We start from the raw sequence: 15,277 nt of genomic DNA, 5'->3' as shown, positions 1-15,277 counted from the left end.
CCATTCTCCTGCCTCAGCCTCCTAAGTAGCTGGGACTACAGGCGCCCGCCACCACGCCTGGCTAATTTTTTGTATTTTTAGTAGAGACGGGGTTTCACCGTGTTAGCCAGGATGGTCTCGATCTCCTGACCTCGTGATCCACCCACCTCAGCCTCCCAAAGTGCTGGGATTACAGGTGTGAGCCACTGTGCTCAGCTTCTACTTAGTTTTTTAAAAAGTCTTTTTTCTTTCTGAGTTTCAGTTTGTCAAGCTTCTATTGTTCTGTTTTCAACTTTACTAATATTTTCTTCTGCAGTGTCTAATCTACTATTTTTTTATTTTTATTTTTATTTTTTTTGAGACGGAGTCTCACTCTGTCACCCAGGCTGGAGTACAGTGGCGTGATCTCAGCTCACTGCAACCTCTGCATCCCTAGTTCAAGATTCTCTTGCCTCAGCCTCCTGAGTAGTTGGGATTATAGGCATGTGCCATCACACCTGGCTAATTTTTGTATTTTTAGTAGAGACGGGGTTTCGCCATGTTGCCCAGGCTAGTCTCGAACTCCTGACCTCAGGTGATCAGCCCGCCTCAGACTCCCAGAGTGCTGGGATTACAGGTGTGAGTCACTAGTCTACTATTAAGACCATTGGGTTCTAAAAACAATTTCAGATATTGTATTTTTCATATCTAAAAGTTCCATTGGGCTTGTTTTTTATTTTCCATGTTTCTGTTCATTGTTTTTTATATTTTATTTCACATTTTGAACACATTTTTTGTCTGCTAGCTCTCATCCATTGTTTCTGAATTTGTGTCTTTTGACTGATTTTCATGCAGTTATGGGTCACGTGAGCCTACTTTGTTGCATGTCTAATAATTTTTGTTTGAATGATGGTCATTGTGGATTAAGTTGTTGAGTGATTGGATTTTATTGTCTTTTTTAAAAAAAGTAATGGACTTTTTTTGTGTCAGGTAAGTAACTTGCTGACCTAATTAATCCTTTCAAGGTTTGTTGTACATTTTGGGGAGGTGAATGTAGAGTAGCCTTACTCTAGGGATAGTTGTGCCCCATTACTAAGGTGTGATCTTTTGTGGCTTCACTGACTGTACTGGGTAATCCATTAAATAGTTCCACTCTGGCAGTGCAAATCTGAATATTTCTCAGTCCTCTGTGAGTTTGGGAACTGCTCATCTGTCATTTTGTTTGCCAAGCTTCAAGTTACACACACACACGTCTTCAGCAACAGCCTACGGGATGCAGCAGATTTCTGGTGCTCAATTTCTGAGTGGTTCTATCTTGTGTTGTGGTCTTTCCTACAAATTACAGCTACCTTGGCCTCCACACACTCTGATCTTTGTCTCCTCAAGCCAGTGAAACCACTGTGTTCTAAATTAATTCCAGGAAGAAAGCCAGAATGATTGTGGTGCTCAGCTGTTTTATTTCCCTTCTTGCAGCAATCACAGTCATGGACTTCCTGTTGTCCAATGTCTTCATAGTTTTTTTTTTTTTTCATATATTTCATCTAGTTGTCTAGTTGTTTACAGTGGGAAGGCAAGACAGGTGCCAGTTATTCCATCATGATAAAAAAAAGTTAGAAATAATTTTTAAAACTCACTTTATCTTGAATAAACTCTTAGTGAAGTATATGAAAGATTTATAGTCAAAGCACCCAATCAGTGCCTGGCATGTAGGAGGCATATATTTAATACTAGATATTATGATTATAGTAATTGTCATCAATATCTTTTAGTGGGGACTCTGTTAACCCAAGGATTTACTAACAGCGGTGACTTTGGATGGTTTTGTCTTTTTGCATTTCTTAATTTACCCAAGGAAAGCAAGCAGAATCAGTATGCTTGTAAATCTACATAAGTACTACCAAATGTGATACCCACTGTACTTACATATTGCCTCACAGAAGGTAGTACATTGAAAAAAAATTTGGCTGGGCATGGTGGCTCATGCCTGTAATCCTAGCACTTTGGGAGGGTGAGGTGGGCAGATCACCTGAGGTCAGGAGTTCAAGATCAGCCTGGGCAACATGGTGAAACCCCGTCTCTACTAAAAATACAAAAAATTCACTGGGCATGGTGGCACACGCCTGTAATCCCAGCTACTGGGGAGGCTGAGGCAGGAGAATCGCTTGAACCTGGGAGGCGGAGGTTGCAGTGAGCCGAGATTGTGCCACTGCACTCAAGCCTGGGTGATAGAGTGAGATTTTTGTCTCAAAAAAAAAGAAAAAAGAAAAAAGAATTATAAAAGATTTAAAGTTCAGACCTTGATTGCTAGCCTTAGTCAAGTAGAAATTTCATTTTGTATTTTCTCAATAGATGTTATTCAAGAACAGTGGTTTAAGAATAATTGTTTTTTTTGAACTCAAATTTAAAAAGAGTAAGTGAGCCAACTAAAAGGTCAATTGGCTCAGGGCAGCAAAAGCTTAAAGATTTATTAGTTAACTATTAGCAAAGAAAGATAATACTGTATACTAAGAACTCTTATAATAAAATAAGTTAAAACGAATATTGATTGAGAATGGAATGTTGTGGTGTTGAAATGCATATACAAACATAATGCCGTTAATATGGGGAAACGTAAATGAAGCCAAACTTTTCTATAATTCATAGTGCATCTTCAAACACTTTGCGTAAGACTGATAGCAAAAAGCATGATCACTGTAAGGCAGAGAACAACAGTCATCCTTGGGTGTCTTCTGGTTGAAAACTCCCTTGAGGGGCTCCATCATTTGAGTCACCTCATGCTCCTATTGCCAGCCAGCATAGAACACAGCAAAGGCCTCAAACTGAGAGCCAGTTGAGGAATAACTGATTCAACTAGATGCGTAGGAGGGTTTGTCTATAAAAGAGGCCATTACAATAAACCCAAGGAATAACTGATTCAACTAGATGCATAGGAGTGTCCATCTATAAAAGAGGCCATTAGAATAAACCTAAAGGTATCTGAGAACTGTGCATCACTCCAGGGTTCTGCCAGAGCACATATGTTGCAGAAATAGCTGTCAGCTAAGTGGGGCCCTGACTGGCATAGGGTTTATTTCATTAATTTGCGTCATTTAATCCCCAGTGTAACTGTAAGAATGTTATGGTGATGAAAACCAGAATGAGATAGGTTTGGCCCTAGTTGGATTTTAGATACTGTATTTGATAAATGTCTACAGAAAGAGGTCATCCTATTTTTTTCCCCACCATCTCCATTCTTACCAAATCCGTCCAATCTAGTGGATCCCAAGAACAGACAATTCTAGGGACCTTGGGCTTCCCCTGACTATGTTAGAGCCCCTTAGTGATCCAAGTGATTTAATACGTGCATGGGGGCTGCCCTGGCTCCTGAATGTGGCATTTGCCTTTTTGGAGAAGCTCTGGACTGGAGCAGGCCTGGATGGACTGAACTGATAGCCCTGGGACTGCATAGAGTTTAGGAAATGAAAAGCATATGTCATTGACATTGGACTTCGTGAAGCAGAGTGAGGCTTTTGAGTTTTGCCAGACCATAGCAGTAGGGAAATGTGGGCTGTTTCTGTAGCTATTCTTGTAAAGGTTACAGAGCATCTCATTTCAGAATTTGCAGTGTTCAGATTGCCAGCTAAAGAAAGCTATTGTTTAGTAAATATCTCCAATTACACTTATCTTCCTAGATGGTTGGAAATTAGTACTGACATATATACTTGTTAAGGTCTTTGATTTCATCCTTTTAACATTTCTCAGCATGTTCCTGATCATATGTCCCTTCAACCAGTCTGCCATGTAATGCCATTTGTAATAGTTTAATCTATGACTATTTCTACTAAGAGTGATTGCCCCATTAATGGAAAGACAGCCTTTGAAATAGGCAATCAATTTCATGTTTTTTTCTATTGATGTAAGTGACAATATTTGTTGCAGGAAACAAATTCACGTATATATTACTGAATTATAATCAACCTAGTAGGATCTAGAAGTTGTAAATGTTTTGTTCAACAGATTTTATTTAAAAATAAAATAGTAAGATGCCAGGTATAGAAACAGTGTGAGATGAAACAGACATGGAATATATTAGTGTGAGATTCCTCCTCTAAAATGGCCTGAGTGACATAAAGTGGTTTTATAAACGTAAGGTAAACCAATAGCAGATAGAAAAGCAATTTAATGCTAATTAAATGAGCCCAGAAGTAATCACTTGAGTGTACACTGAAACATTGCTTTTGAAAATGGACAAAAATATCTGATTTTGTCCATATGCTTTAGTCCATGACCATAGCCATGCTAGGAGTTTTGTTCTCATCACTTTCTGCATTTATCTAAGCAAAGGAGGGCTTATTTTGAAAATTTCTTTTTCTCGTTTTCAAACTTTTGACAGAGGGAGTGCCTCAATTTGAAATATCCTCTTCTCTTCAGCTTTAATGAGATGCCTTTAAATTTAAGAGGTGTATGCGTTTTGTAATGACTCTTAATGATGGCTTTAAAATCACTTGAAGATGGCTTTGTTCTAAGGTGGTGTTTGAATCACCGTGACATTGGCTCTGGACCCTGGTTTGTAATTTCTATCAGGTTCTCTCTGAAGCACGCAAAGGTGTCCTGAAAAGTTGGGTCTAGCCAGGGTCAGGAGCTGAAGATCACATTCTTCCTTATGGGAGAATGACAGACAGCTTCCCTTGGACCACCATTTCTCAGAAGAGATTAGGTCAGGTTTAGACTAACCCCAGACTTCACAAGTTCTCTCCTTAGGTGGGCCTGATGCTCTTCCTGAGCATTTCAGGTCCCCCAGCTTCAAGCAGAATCACATCCAGGGATTTGGGAAGTGGAGTAACCTCTCCAAATTGCCTCAGGCTGGGTGCACAGCTATGTCCTAGAACTATCCAGAGAAGAGTCAAATGTCCACTCTCACATACTCAAATACTTGGCTACAGAATAATCACGAACTGTGAGTTTTCAGCTTTCTGGAGTTTCAGAAAAATAACGAGATGCAGCTGATGAAATCCAAAATAAAATAGACTTCTTTAATAATATCAAGATCCCGACTTCACTTTTTCTGATCAACCCGGAAAGATTTATTCAGACATGGGAATCAACCTCACTTAACTAGCTAAATGAAGCTAGTTAACTAGTTAAGTACACTAAAGGAAAGATTCTTTTTACCAGTGCTATATATATATATATATATATATATATATATATATATATATATATATATATATATTTCCTTTTTAGTTTTACTGAAGTAAAAGATCCCTCGTCTGGAATTTTCTGAGAGTTCTGCACTTTATACAAACAGCAGGTTGGGCTCTATTGCTAAAGGTTATGACCCCTAGCCTTGGATCTTTATTTTTTGGCCAGAAAAATGACAGGAACCATGGGTGCAGCGGTTTCACCACTGCTTTTTCTTATCTCCCTAGGTGAAGAGTGCGACATTGACATAAATGAATGTGACAGTAACCCCTGCCACCATGGTGGGAGCTGCCTGGACCAGCCCAATGGTTATAACTGCCACTGCCCGCATGGTTGGGTGGGAGCAAACTGTGAGATCCGTAAGTATTTCTGCAGCTCAGCCACTGTTATTTAACATTTATAGCTGTTACTTAAGCATTTTCCTTCATGAAGAAGATGCCGACTGTGACCAGAAAGCCCCCGAGTCACTGGCAGATGAGGCAGTGAGTCCCAGAGGGACAACCGGAGCTACACTTGCCCCATTTTGGTGCTCAATACCCAGTTTAGCATGTTTGCCCCCTGCATTCTGCTGCCCCCACTCCCTCCTGAGTCTGAAGCCAGCCTTTCCCCAGGATGAGAATTTTCAGATGTCATCCAGAGTTCACTGCTACTCATGCAGCCAAAAATGTGCTGAACAGAAAAGCATTAGAATCGTATCAAAAAAATAGAGTCTTTGTGTTGAAAATTAAAAAACACACACACACACACACACACACACACAGAATGCAAATTACCTTTTTATTTATGTGTTCAAGTGTCTTCAAATGTATTAAGTTCCTTCTATTGCCTCGAGAAAAGTTCAGTGAAGACAAGCTTAAAAGAAAGGCTGAAAAACATTTTGGGCTGCTTAAAGCTGAGTGATCTCTTAGGGTGAACTAATAGAAGTTTGATAAATGTCTTAATCAAGATTTTATACCTTAAAACAATATATCTACTAGGATTGAAGTGAAAAATGAGAACTAACATGGAATCGAGCTTGCTTGCCTTTCCTTCTTTCCTTCCTTCCTTCTTTCTTTTCTTTCTTTCTTTCTTTCTTTCTTTCTTTCTTTCTTTCTTTCTTTCTTTCTTTCTTTCTCTCTTTCTTTCTTTCTTTCTTTCTTTTTCTTTCTATTATACTTTAAGTTCTGGGACACATGTGCAGAACGTGCAGGTTTGTTACATAGGTATACACATGCCATGGTGGTTTTCTGCACCCATCAACCTGTTATCTACATTACGTATTTCTCCTAATGCTATGCCTCCCCTAGCTCCCCACCACCTGACAGGCCCCAGTGTGTGATGTTCCTCTCCCTATGTCCATGTGTTCTCATTGTTGAGCTCCCACTTATGAGTGAGAACATGTGGTGTTTGGTTTTTTGTTCCTGTGTTAGTTTGCTGAGAATGATGGTTTCCAGCTTCATCCATGTCCCTGCAAAGGACAGGAACTCATCCTTTTTTATGGCTGCATAGTATTCCATGGTGTATATGTGCCACATTTTCTTTATCCAGTCTGTCATTGATGGGCATTTGGGTTGGTTCCAAGTCTTTGCTGTTGTGAACAATGCTGCAATAAACATACGTGTGCATGTGTCTTTATAGTAGAATGATTTATAATCCTTTGGGTATATACCCAGTAATGAGATTGCTGGGTCAAATGGTATTTCTGGTTCCAGATCCTTAAGGAATCACCACACTGTCTTCCACAATGGTTGAACAAATTTACATTCCCACCAAGAGTATAAAAGCATTCCTATTTCTCCACATCCTCTGCAGCATCTGTTATTTCCTGACTTTTTAATAATCGCCATTCTAACTGACGTGAGATGGTATCTCATTGTGGTTTTGATTTGCATTTCACTAATGACCAGTGATGATGAGCTTTTTTTTCATATTTTTGTTGGCTGCATGAATGTCTTCTTTTGAGAGGTATCTGTTCATACCTTTTGCCCACTTTTTGATGTGGTTGTTTGTTTTTTTTTTCTTGTAAATTTTTTTAAGTTCTTTGTAGATTCTGGATATTAGCCCTTTTCCAGATGGATAGATTGCAAAAATTTTCTCCCATTCTGTAGGTTGTCTGTTCACTATGATGATAGTTTCTTTTGCTGTCCAGAAGCTCCTTAGTTTAATTAGATCTCATTTGTCAATTTTGGCTTTTGTTGCCATTGCTTTTGGTGTTTTAGTCATGAAGTCTTTGCCCATGCCTATGTCCTGAATGGTATTGCCTAGGTTTTCTTCTAGGGTTTTTACAGTTTTAGGTCTTACGTGTAAGTCTTTTATCCATCTTGAGTTAGTTTTTGTATAAGGTGTAAGGAAGGGGTCCAGTTTCCGTTTTCTGCATATGGCTAGCCAGTTTTCCCAACACCATTTATTAAATAGGGAATCCTTTCACCAATGCTTGTTTTTATCAGGTTTATCAAAGATCAGATGGTTGTAGATATGTGGCATCATTTCTGAGGCCTCTGTTCTTTTCCATTACTCTGTACATCTGTTTTGGTGCCAGTACCATGCTGTTTTGGTTACTGTAGCTTTGTAGTATAGTTTGAAATCAGGTAACATGATGCCTCCAGCTTTGTTCTGTTTGCTTAGGATTGTCTTGGCTATGCAGGCTCTTTTTTGGTTCTATATGAACTTTAAAGTAGATTTTTCCAATTCTGTGAAGAAAGTCAGTGGTAGCTCGGTGGGGATAGCATTGAACGTGTAAATTACTTTGGGCAGTATGGCCATTTTCATGATATTGATTCTTCCTATCCATGAGCATGAAATGTTTTTTTCATTTGTTTGTGTCTTCTCTTATTTCCTTGAGCAGTGGTTTGTAGTTCTCCTTGAGAGGTCCTTAACATCCCTTGTAAGTTGTATTCTTATGTATTTTATTCTCTGTCGCAATTGTGAATGAGAGTTCACTCATGATTTGGCTCTCTGTTTGTCTATTATTGATTTATAGGAAAGCTTGTGATTTTTGCACATTGATTTTGTATCCTGAGACTTTGCTGAAGTTGCTTATCAGCTTAAGGAGATTTTGAGCTGAGACAATGGGGCTTTCTAAATATACAATCATGTCATCTGCAAACAGAGACAATTTTACTTCCTCTCTTCTTATTTGAATACCCTTTATTTCTTTCCCTTGCCTGATTGACCTGGCCAGAACTTCCAATGCTATGTTGAATAGCAGTGGTGAGAGAAGGCATCCTTGTCTTGTGCCAGTTTTCAAAAGGAATGCTTCTAGCTTTTGCCCATTCAGTATGATACTGGCTGTGGGTTTGTCATAAATAGCTCTTATTTTGAGATACGTTCTGTCAATACCTAGTTTATTGAGAGTTTTTAGCATGAAGGTGTGTTAAACTTTATCAGAGGCCTTTTCTGTGTCTATTGAGATTATCACGTGGTTTTTATCATTGGTTGTGTTTAAGTGATGGATTGCATTTATTGATTTGTATATATTGAACCCTTGCATCCTAGGGATGAAGCCAACTTGATTGTGGTGGATAAGCTTTTTTTTTTTTTTTTTAGATGGAGTCTCGCTCTGTTGCCCAGACTGGAGTACAGTGGTGGATAAGCTTTTTGATGTGCTACTGGATTCGGTGTGCCAGTATTTTATTGAGGATTTTTGCATCAATGTTTATCAGGGATCTTGGCCTGAAGTTTTCTTTTTTTGTTGCGTCTCTTCCAGGTTTTGGTATCAGGATGATGCTGGCCTCATGAAATGAGTTGGGAAGGAGTCCCTCTTTTCTATTGTTTGGAATAGTTTCAGAAGGAATGGTACCAGCTCCTCTTTGTACCTCTGATAAAATTTGGCTGTGAATCCATCTGGTCCTGGGCTTTTTTTGGTTTGTAGGCTATTAATTACTTCCTCAATTTCAGAACTTCTTATTGGTCTATTCAGGGATTCAACTTGTTTCTGGTTTAGTCTTGGGAGGGTGTATGTGTCCAGGAATTTATCTGTTTCTTCTAGATTTTCTAGTTTATTTGCATAGAGGTGTTTATAGTATTCTCTGATAGTAGTTTGTATTTCTATCAGATCAGCGGTGATATCCCCTTTATCAATTTTTATTGTGTCTATCTGATTCTTCTCTCTTTTCTTCTTTGTTAGTCTGGCTAGTGGTCTATCTATTTTGTAAATCTTTTCAAAAAACCAGCTCCTGGATTCCTTGATTTTTTGAAGGGTTTTTCTTGTCTCTCTCTCCTTCAGTTCTGCTCTGATCTTAGTTATTTCTTGTCTTCTGCTAGCTTTTGAATTTGTTTGCTCTTGCTTCTCTAGTTCTTTTAATTGTGATGTTAGGGTATCGATTTTAGATCTTTCCCACTTTCTCCTGTGGGGATTTAGTGCTATAAATTTCCCTCTAAACACTGCTTTAGCTGTGTCCCAGAGATTCTGGTACATTGTGTCTTTGTTCTCATTGATTTCAAATAACTTATTTATTTCTGCATTAATTTCGTTATTTACCCAGTAGTCATTCAGGAGCAGGTTGTTCAGTTTCCATGTAGTTGTGCAGTTTTGAGTGAGTTTCTTAATCCTGAGTTCTAATTTGATTGCACTGTGGTCTGAGAGACTGTTTCTTATGATTTCCATTCTTTTGTATGTGCTGAGGAGTGTTTTACTTCCAATTATGTGGTCAATCTTAGAATAAGTGCGAAGTGGTGCTGAGAAGAATGTGTATTCTGCTGATTTGGAGTGGAGAGTTCTGTAGATGTCTATTAGGTCTGCTTGGTCCAGAGCTGAGTTCAAGTCCTGAATATTCTTGTTAATCTTCTGTCTCGTGGATCTGTCTAATATTGACAGTAGGGTGTTAAAGTCTCCCACTATTATTGTGTGGGAGTCTAATTCTCTTTTTAGGTCTCTAAGAACTTGCTTTATGAATCTGGATGCTCCTTTATTGGGTGCATATATATTTAAGACAGTTAGCTCTTCTTGTTTCATTGATCCCTTTACCATTATGTAATGCCCTTTTTTGTCTCTTTTGATCTTTGTTGGTTTAAAGTCTGTTTTATTAGAGACTAGAATTGAAATCCCTCCTTTTTTTGCTTTCCATTTGCTTGGTAAATATTCCTCCATCCCTTTATTTTGAGCCTATGTGTGTCTTTGCATGTGAGGTGGGTCTCCTGAATACAGCACACCAATGGGTCTTGACTCTATGCAATTTGCCACTGTGTGTCTTTTAATTGAGGCATTTAGCCCATTTACATTTAAGGTTAGTATTGTTATGTTTGAATTTGCTCCTGTCATTATGATGCTAGCTGGTTATTTTGCCCGTTAGTTGATACAGTTTTTTCATAGTGTCAATTGTCTTTACAATTTGGTATGTTTTTGCAGTGGCTGGTACTGGTTTTTCCTTTCCATATTTAGTGCTTCCTTCAGGAGCTCTTGTAAGGCAGGCCTGGTGGTAACAAAATCTCTTAGCATTTGCTTGTCTGTAAAGGATTTTATTTCTCCTTCACTTACGAAACTTAGGTTGGCTGGATATGAAATTCTGGGTTGAAAATTCTTTTGTTTCAGAATGTTGAATATTGGCCTCCACTCTCTTCTGGCTTGTAGGGTTTCTGCAGAGAGATCTGCCGTTAGTCTGATGGGCTTCCTTTTGTGGGTAACCCGACCTTTCTCTCTGGCTGCCCTTAACATTTTTCCTTCATTTCAATTGTGGTGAATCTGATGATTATGTGTCTTGGGGTTGCTCTTCTCGAGGAGTATCTTTGTGGTGTTCTCTGTATTTTCTGAATTATGTTGGCCTGTCTTGCTAGGTTGGGGAAGTTCTCCCGGATAATATCCTAAAAAGTGTTTTCCAACTTGTTTCCATTCTCCCCGTCACTTTCAAGTACACCAATCAAACAGGTTTGGTCTTTTCACATAGTCCCATATTTTTTGGAGGCGTTGTTCATTCCTTTTCATTCTTTTTTCTCTAATCTTGTCTTCATGCTTTATTTCATTAAGTTGGTCTTCAGTCTCTTATATCCTTTCTTCTGCTTGATCTATTTGGCTATTGATACTTGTGTATGCTTCACAAAATTCTCTTGCTGTATTTTTCAGCTCCATCAGGTCATTTATGTTCTTCTGTAAACTGGTTATTCTAGTTAGCAATTCATCTAACCTTTTTTCAAGTTTCTTAGCTTCCTTGCATTGGGTTAGAACATGCTTCTTTAGCTCAGAGGAGTTTGTTATTACCCACCTTCTGGAACCTACTTCTGTCAATTCGTCAAACTCATTCTCTGTCCAGTTCTGTTCCCTCGCTAGTGAGAAGTTGTGATCCTTTGGAGGAGAAGAGGCATTCTGGTTTTTGGAATTTTTAGCCTTTTTGTGCTGGTTTTTCCTCATCTTCGTGGATTTATCTACCTTTGGTCTTTGATGTTGGTGACCTTTGGATGGGGTTTCTGTGTGGACATCCTTTTTGTTGATGTTGATGCTATTCCTTTCTGTTTGTTAGTTTTCCTTCTAACAGTCAGACCCCTCTGCTGTGGGTCTGCTGGAGTTTGCTGGAGGTCCACTCCAGACCATTTGCCTGGGTATCACCAATGGAGGCTGTGGAACAGCAAAGATGTCTGCCTGTTCCTTCATCTGGAAGCTTCTTCCCAGAGGGTCACCTGCCAGATGCCAGCCGGAGTTCTCCTATATGAGGTGTCTGTTGATCCCTGCTGGGAGGTGTCTCTCTGTCAGGAGGCACCCACTTGAGGAGGCAGCCTGTCCTTTAACAGAGCTCAAGTGCTGTGCTGGGAGATCCACTGCTCTCTTCAGAGCCGGCAGGCAGGAACATTTAAGTCTGCTGAAGCTGCACCCACAGCTGCCCCTTCCCCCAGGTGCTCTGTCCCAGGGAGATGGGAGTTTTATCTATAAGCTCCTTACTGAGGCTGCTGCTTTTCTTTCAGAAATGCCCTGCACAGAGAGGAGGAATCTAGAGAGGCTGTCTGGTTATAGTGGCTTTGCAGTGCTGCGGTGGGCTCCGTCCAATCCAAACTTCCTGGCGGCTTTGTTTACACTGTGAGGGGAAAACCGCCTACTCAAGCCTCAGTAATGGTGGACGCCCCTCCCCCCACCAAGCTTCAGTGTCCCAGGTCGACTTCAGACTGCTGTGCTGGTAGTGAGAATTTCAAGCCAGTGGATCTTAGTTTGCTGGGCTCCGTGGGGGTGGGATCTGCTGAGCTAGACCACTTGGCTCCCTGGTTGCAGCCACCTTTCCAGGGGAGTGAACGGTTTTGTCTCACTGGTGTTCCAGGAGCCACTGGGGTAGGAAAAAAAAAGTACTCCTGCAGCTAGCTCAGTGTCTGCCCAGATGGCTGCCCAGTTTTGTGCTTGAAACCCAGGGCCCTGGTGACATAGGTACCCGAGGGAATCTCCTGGTCTGTGGATTGTGAAGACCATGGGAAAAGTATAGTATCTAGGCTGGAGTGCACCGTTCCTCACGACACAGTCCCTCATGGCTTCCCTTGGCTAGGGGAGGGAGTTTCTTGACCCCTTGTGTTTCCCGGGTGAGGCGACACCCCATCCTGCTTCTGCTCGCCCTCCATGGGCTGTACCCACTGTCTAACCAGTCTCAATGAGATGAGCCAGCTACCTCAGTTGGAAATGCAGAAATCAGCTGCCTTCTGCATTGATCTTGCTGGGAGCTGCACACCAGAGCTGTTCCTATTCGGCCATTTTGCCAGCCTCCCCTCCAGTTTTCTTTTTTTATTTTATTTTATTTTTTTATTTTTATTTTTTGAGATGGAGTCTTGCTGTGTCCAGGCTGGAGTGCAGTGGTATGATCTCAGCTCACTGCAACCTCTGCCTCCTCGGTTCAAGTGATTCTCCTACCTCAGCTTCCCGAGTAGCTGGGATTACAGGTGTGTGGCACCACTCCTGGCTAATTTTTGTATTTTTAGTAGAGAAGGGGTTTCACTATGTTGGCCAGGATGGTCTCGATCTCTTGACCTCATGATCCACCTGCCTTGGCCTCCCAAAGTGCTGGGATTACAGGTGTGAGTCACCGTGCCTGACTGCAATCGAGTTTTCAATTGTTTTGGAACTGTTAAAGATTCAACTTTGAAAGGTATTGTCTTCTTATTTAAATTAGCTGGGGCAATTTGATCTTTCATAGCCGAAGAGAGCTAACCATGCTGGTTGGGTGAAAGTTTCCTCCCTATTCCAGATTGCTTCTTTTCCTGGGAAAGTTGCATAAGAACTCCCTTCCGCGCTCTGTCACCTGCTCACTCACCTTTTGACAGATAAAGAAAACTTGTCTTCTGTGTGAATTTGGAAGGATGCAAATCAGTACCCACAGTCCTGCCTGCCTGCTTCTGCCTGTCTGTCTGTGTCACTTGGCCTGATCTGTCTGCTCTCTCCACTCCTCTCTATGTCACAAGACCAGGCCCTCACTGGTGGTTCTGGCTGCCTATGGCTGGATAGGGTCATCTCATTCTCAGTGTTTTCTAATGTAGAGGGTGGCCGGTATTAGGAAACTCTCTTGTCCAAATGTGGACCACATTCTCTGACATCAACTTGACCAACTTGACCACATTCTCCAACGTCAATTTGATCAACTTGATAAGAGGCTGAGGATATGATTTAGCTTCTTACCTGCTCACTCACTGTCTTTCTTCTTGGTTCATGCAGCCAAAGTGTGAAGTGTGTAATTGTTATAGGCCTCCCCCTTAGCATTCTCAATTGCTCTCATACAGAATGGGCTTCGAATTAACTTTCCTTGCTAAAGATGGGTGAGAACTACTTTCTTGTTGAAGAGAGAGACAAGGGACTGAAAAGGATTTCAATGGTAAAATTCTAAGGGACTGTAGTTATAGGATGTTAAGTCCAGTCTGGTGGAATCTGCTGGTGGAAAGGATTCCAGACTTGGGTCAGCAGGACCTTGGTTCTTATCCTGGCCAAGGCACTCGTTATGACTGCATTTGCTTGTGCTGAGCCTCAGTTTACTTTTCCAGAAAATGGGATCAGTTTTCATTCTAAAGTTTAGTATGACAAATTGACACACTTTGTGCCTTTAGGGCAGAGTAATATCTACTTATAACTTTAAAATGGGATTCATGAAGATAAATATATAGGAGAGTATAGATGAAAAGTCAGGAACACACAGGATATCATCAAGAAATTTTGAAGTGAAATCCTATCATTGTAAAAAATCTAAAGTTTACTTCTTCTGGTGATGATAATGTAGGCAAAATATGGAATAACAAAAGGATCAAAGTCGACTTCAGATTCAAGCTCCATCATATTCTAACTATGTAACCTGGAAAAACAAATTTACCTCTGGGAGCCTTGTCTTTCTCACTTGATTATAGGAAGGCTTCCCATGCTGGTTGCTGTGAGGATTACATGAGGCAAATGTCCAGATTTCTGCTGTTCAGTAGACACTAAATAAATACTGGTTGATCTTTCTTTTATTTTTTCTGTACTACTATACCTCTTATGCTATGAGCTACTCCCAGGAAGGATTAACCTTCAGCAATTGTCTTTTTAGATGCTGCCTACAGCCCAGGACAGTGGCTATTCTGAGTGGCTGGGTGTGATAGGGTACATTACACATCTCAGTGCATACCTGGACGCCGTGTTCACTCAACTCTATCATCTTCCATTTGATGATCTCATTTATATTTCTCTATAGGGCCAAAGGTATCAAAACTAAATTTAATTACAGATTAGGCTCTGCCAGGTCCCAGCACTGGATATTTCTAACCATGACCTGAGTATATGGAAAGGAGACCGTGTGTATGAGGTTTGCGGATGACACATAGCTGAAACCAGTGGCTCGTGTCTAGATAATTGGGTCTGAATCAATGGAATGGATCTGAGGATCCAGAGTGCACACAGAATTCGTACATTTGGTGGGCAGGGAAGCTGTAAGAGGCCTCTAGTCCTGCGTGAGCCATGGGAACCACGGCCTCTGAGGTCTCTTTCTAACTCTGAGCATCTGTGATCCTCTGAAGTATCCAGAAACCAAGAGGAGGATGCCTGGATATCTCAAAGTCTAGTCAGTAGATCTAAACAGAAAAGCTCAGATGTACACAGAGAACCATGGCCCACATAGCTACATGGTGCTGGAGGGCTGCTGAGTCACCTGAGGAAGTAAAGGAGGCTTCCATTAACTCGATCACTGCCTTCAGAGGCCACATTGCTTGCCTGTCTTCCTTGCTGCCTCTGCAGTAG

The 15,277-nt window shown here is 40.7% G+C and overlaps 1 protein-coding gene across 1 annotated transcript in view; it reads left to right on the top strand.

Annotated features, from left to right (window-relative positions):
- The window catches only part of DNER (delta/notch like EGF repeat containing), a 356,927-nt gene that overhangs the window by 320,793 nt on the left and 20,857 nt on the right, over positions 1–15,277 (top strand). Inside the window, exon 11 of the mRNA NM_139072.4 lies at positions 5,367–5,498. Coding sequence (NP_620711.3) covers positions 5,367–5,498 — 132 coding nt within the window. The remainder of the gene's footprint in view (positions 1–5,366; positions 5,499–15,277) is intronic.

This window comes from Homo sapiens, chromosome 2 (assembly GCF_000001405.40).
Source record: "Homo sapiens chromosome 2, GRCh38.p14 Primary Assembly".
NCBI lineage: Eukaryota > Metazoa > Chordata > Mammalia > Primates > Hominidae > Homo > Homo sapiens.
This window is presented reverse-complemented; position numbering and strand designations above follow the sequence as displayed.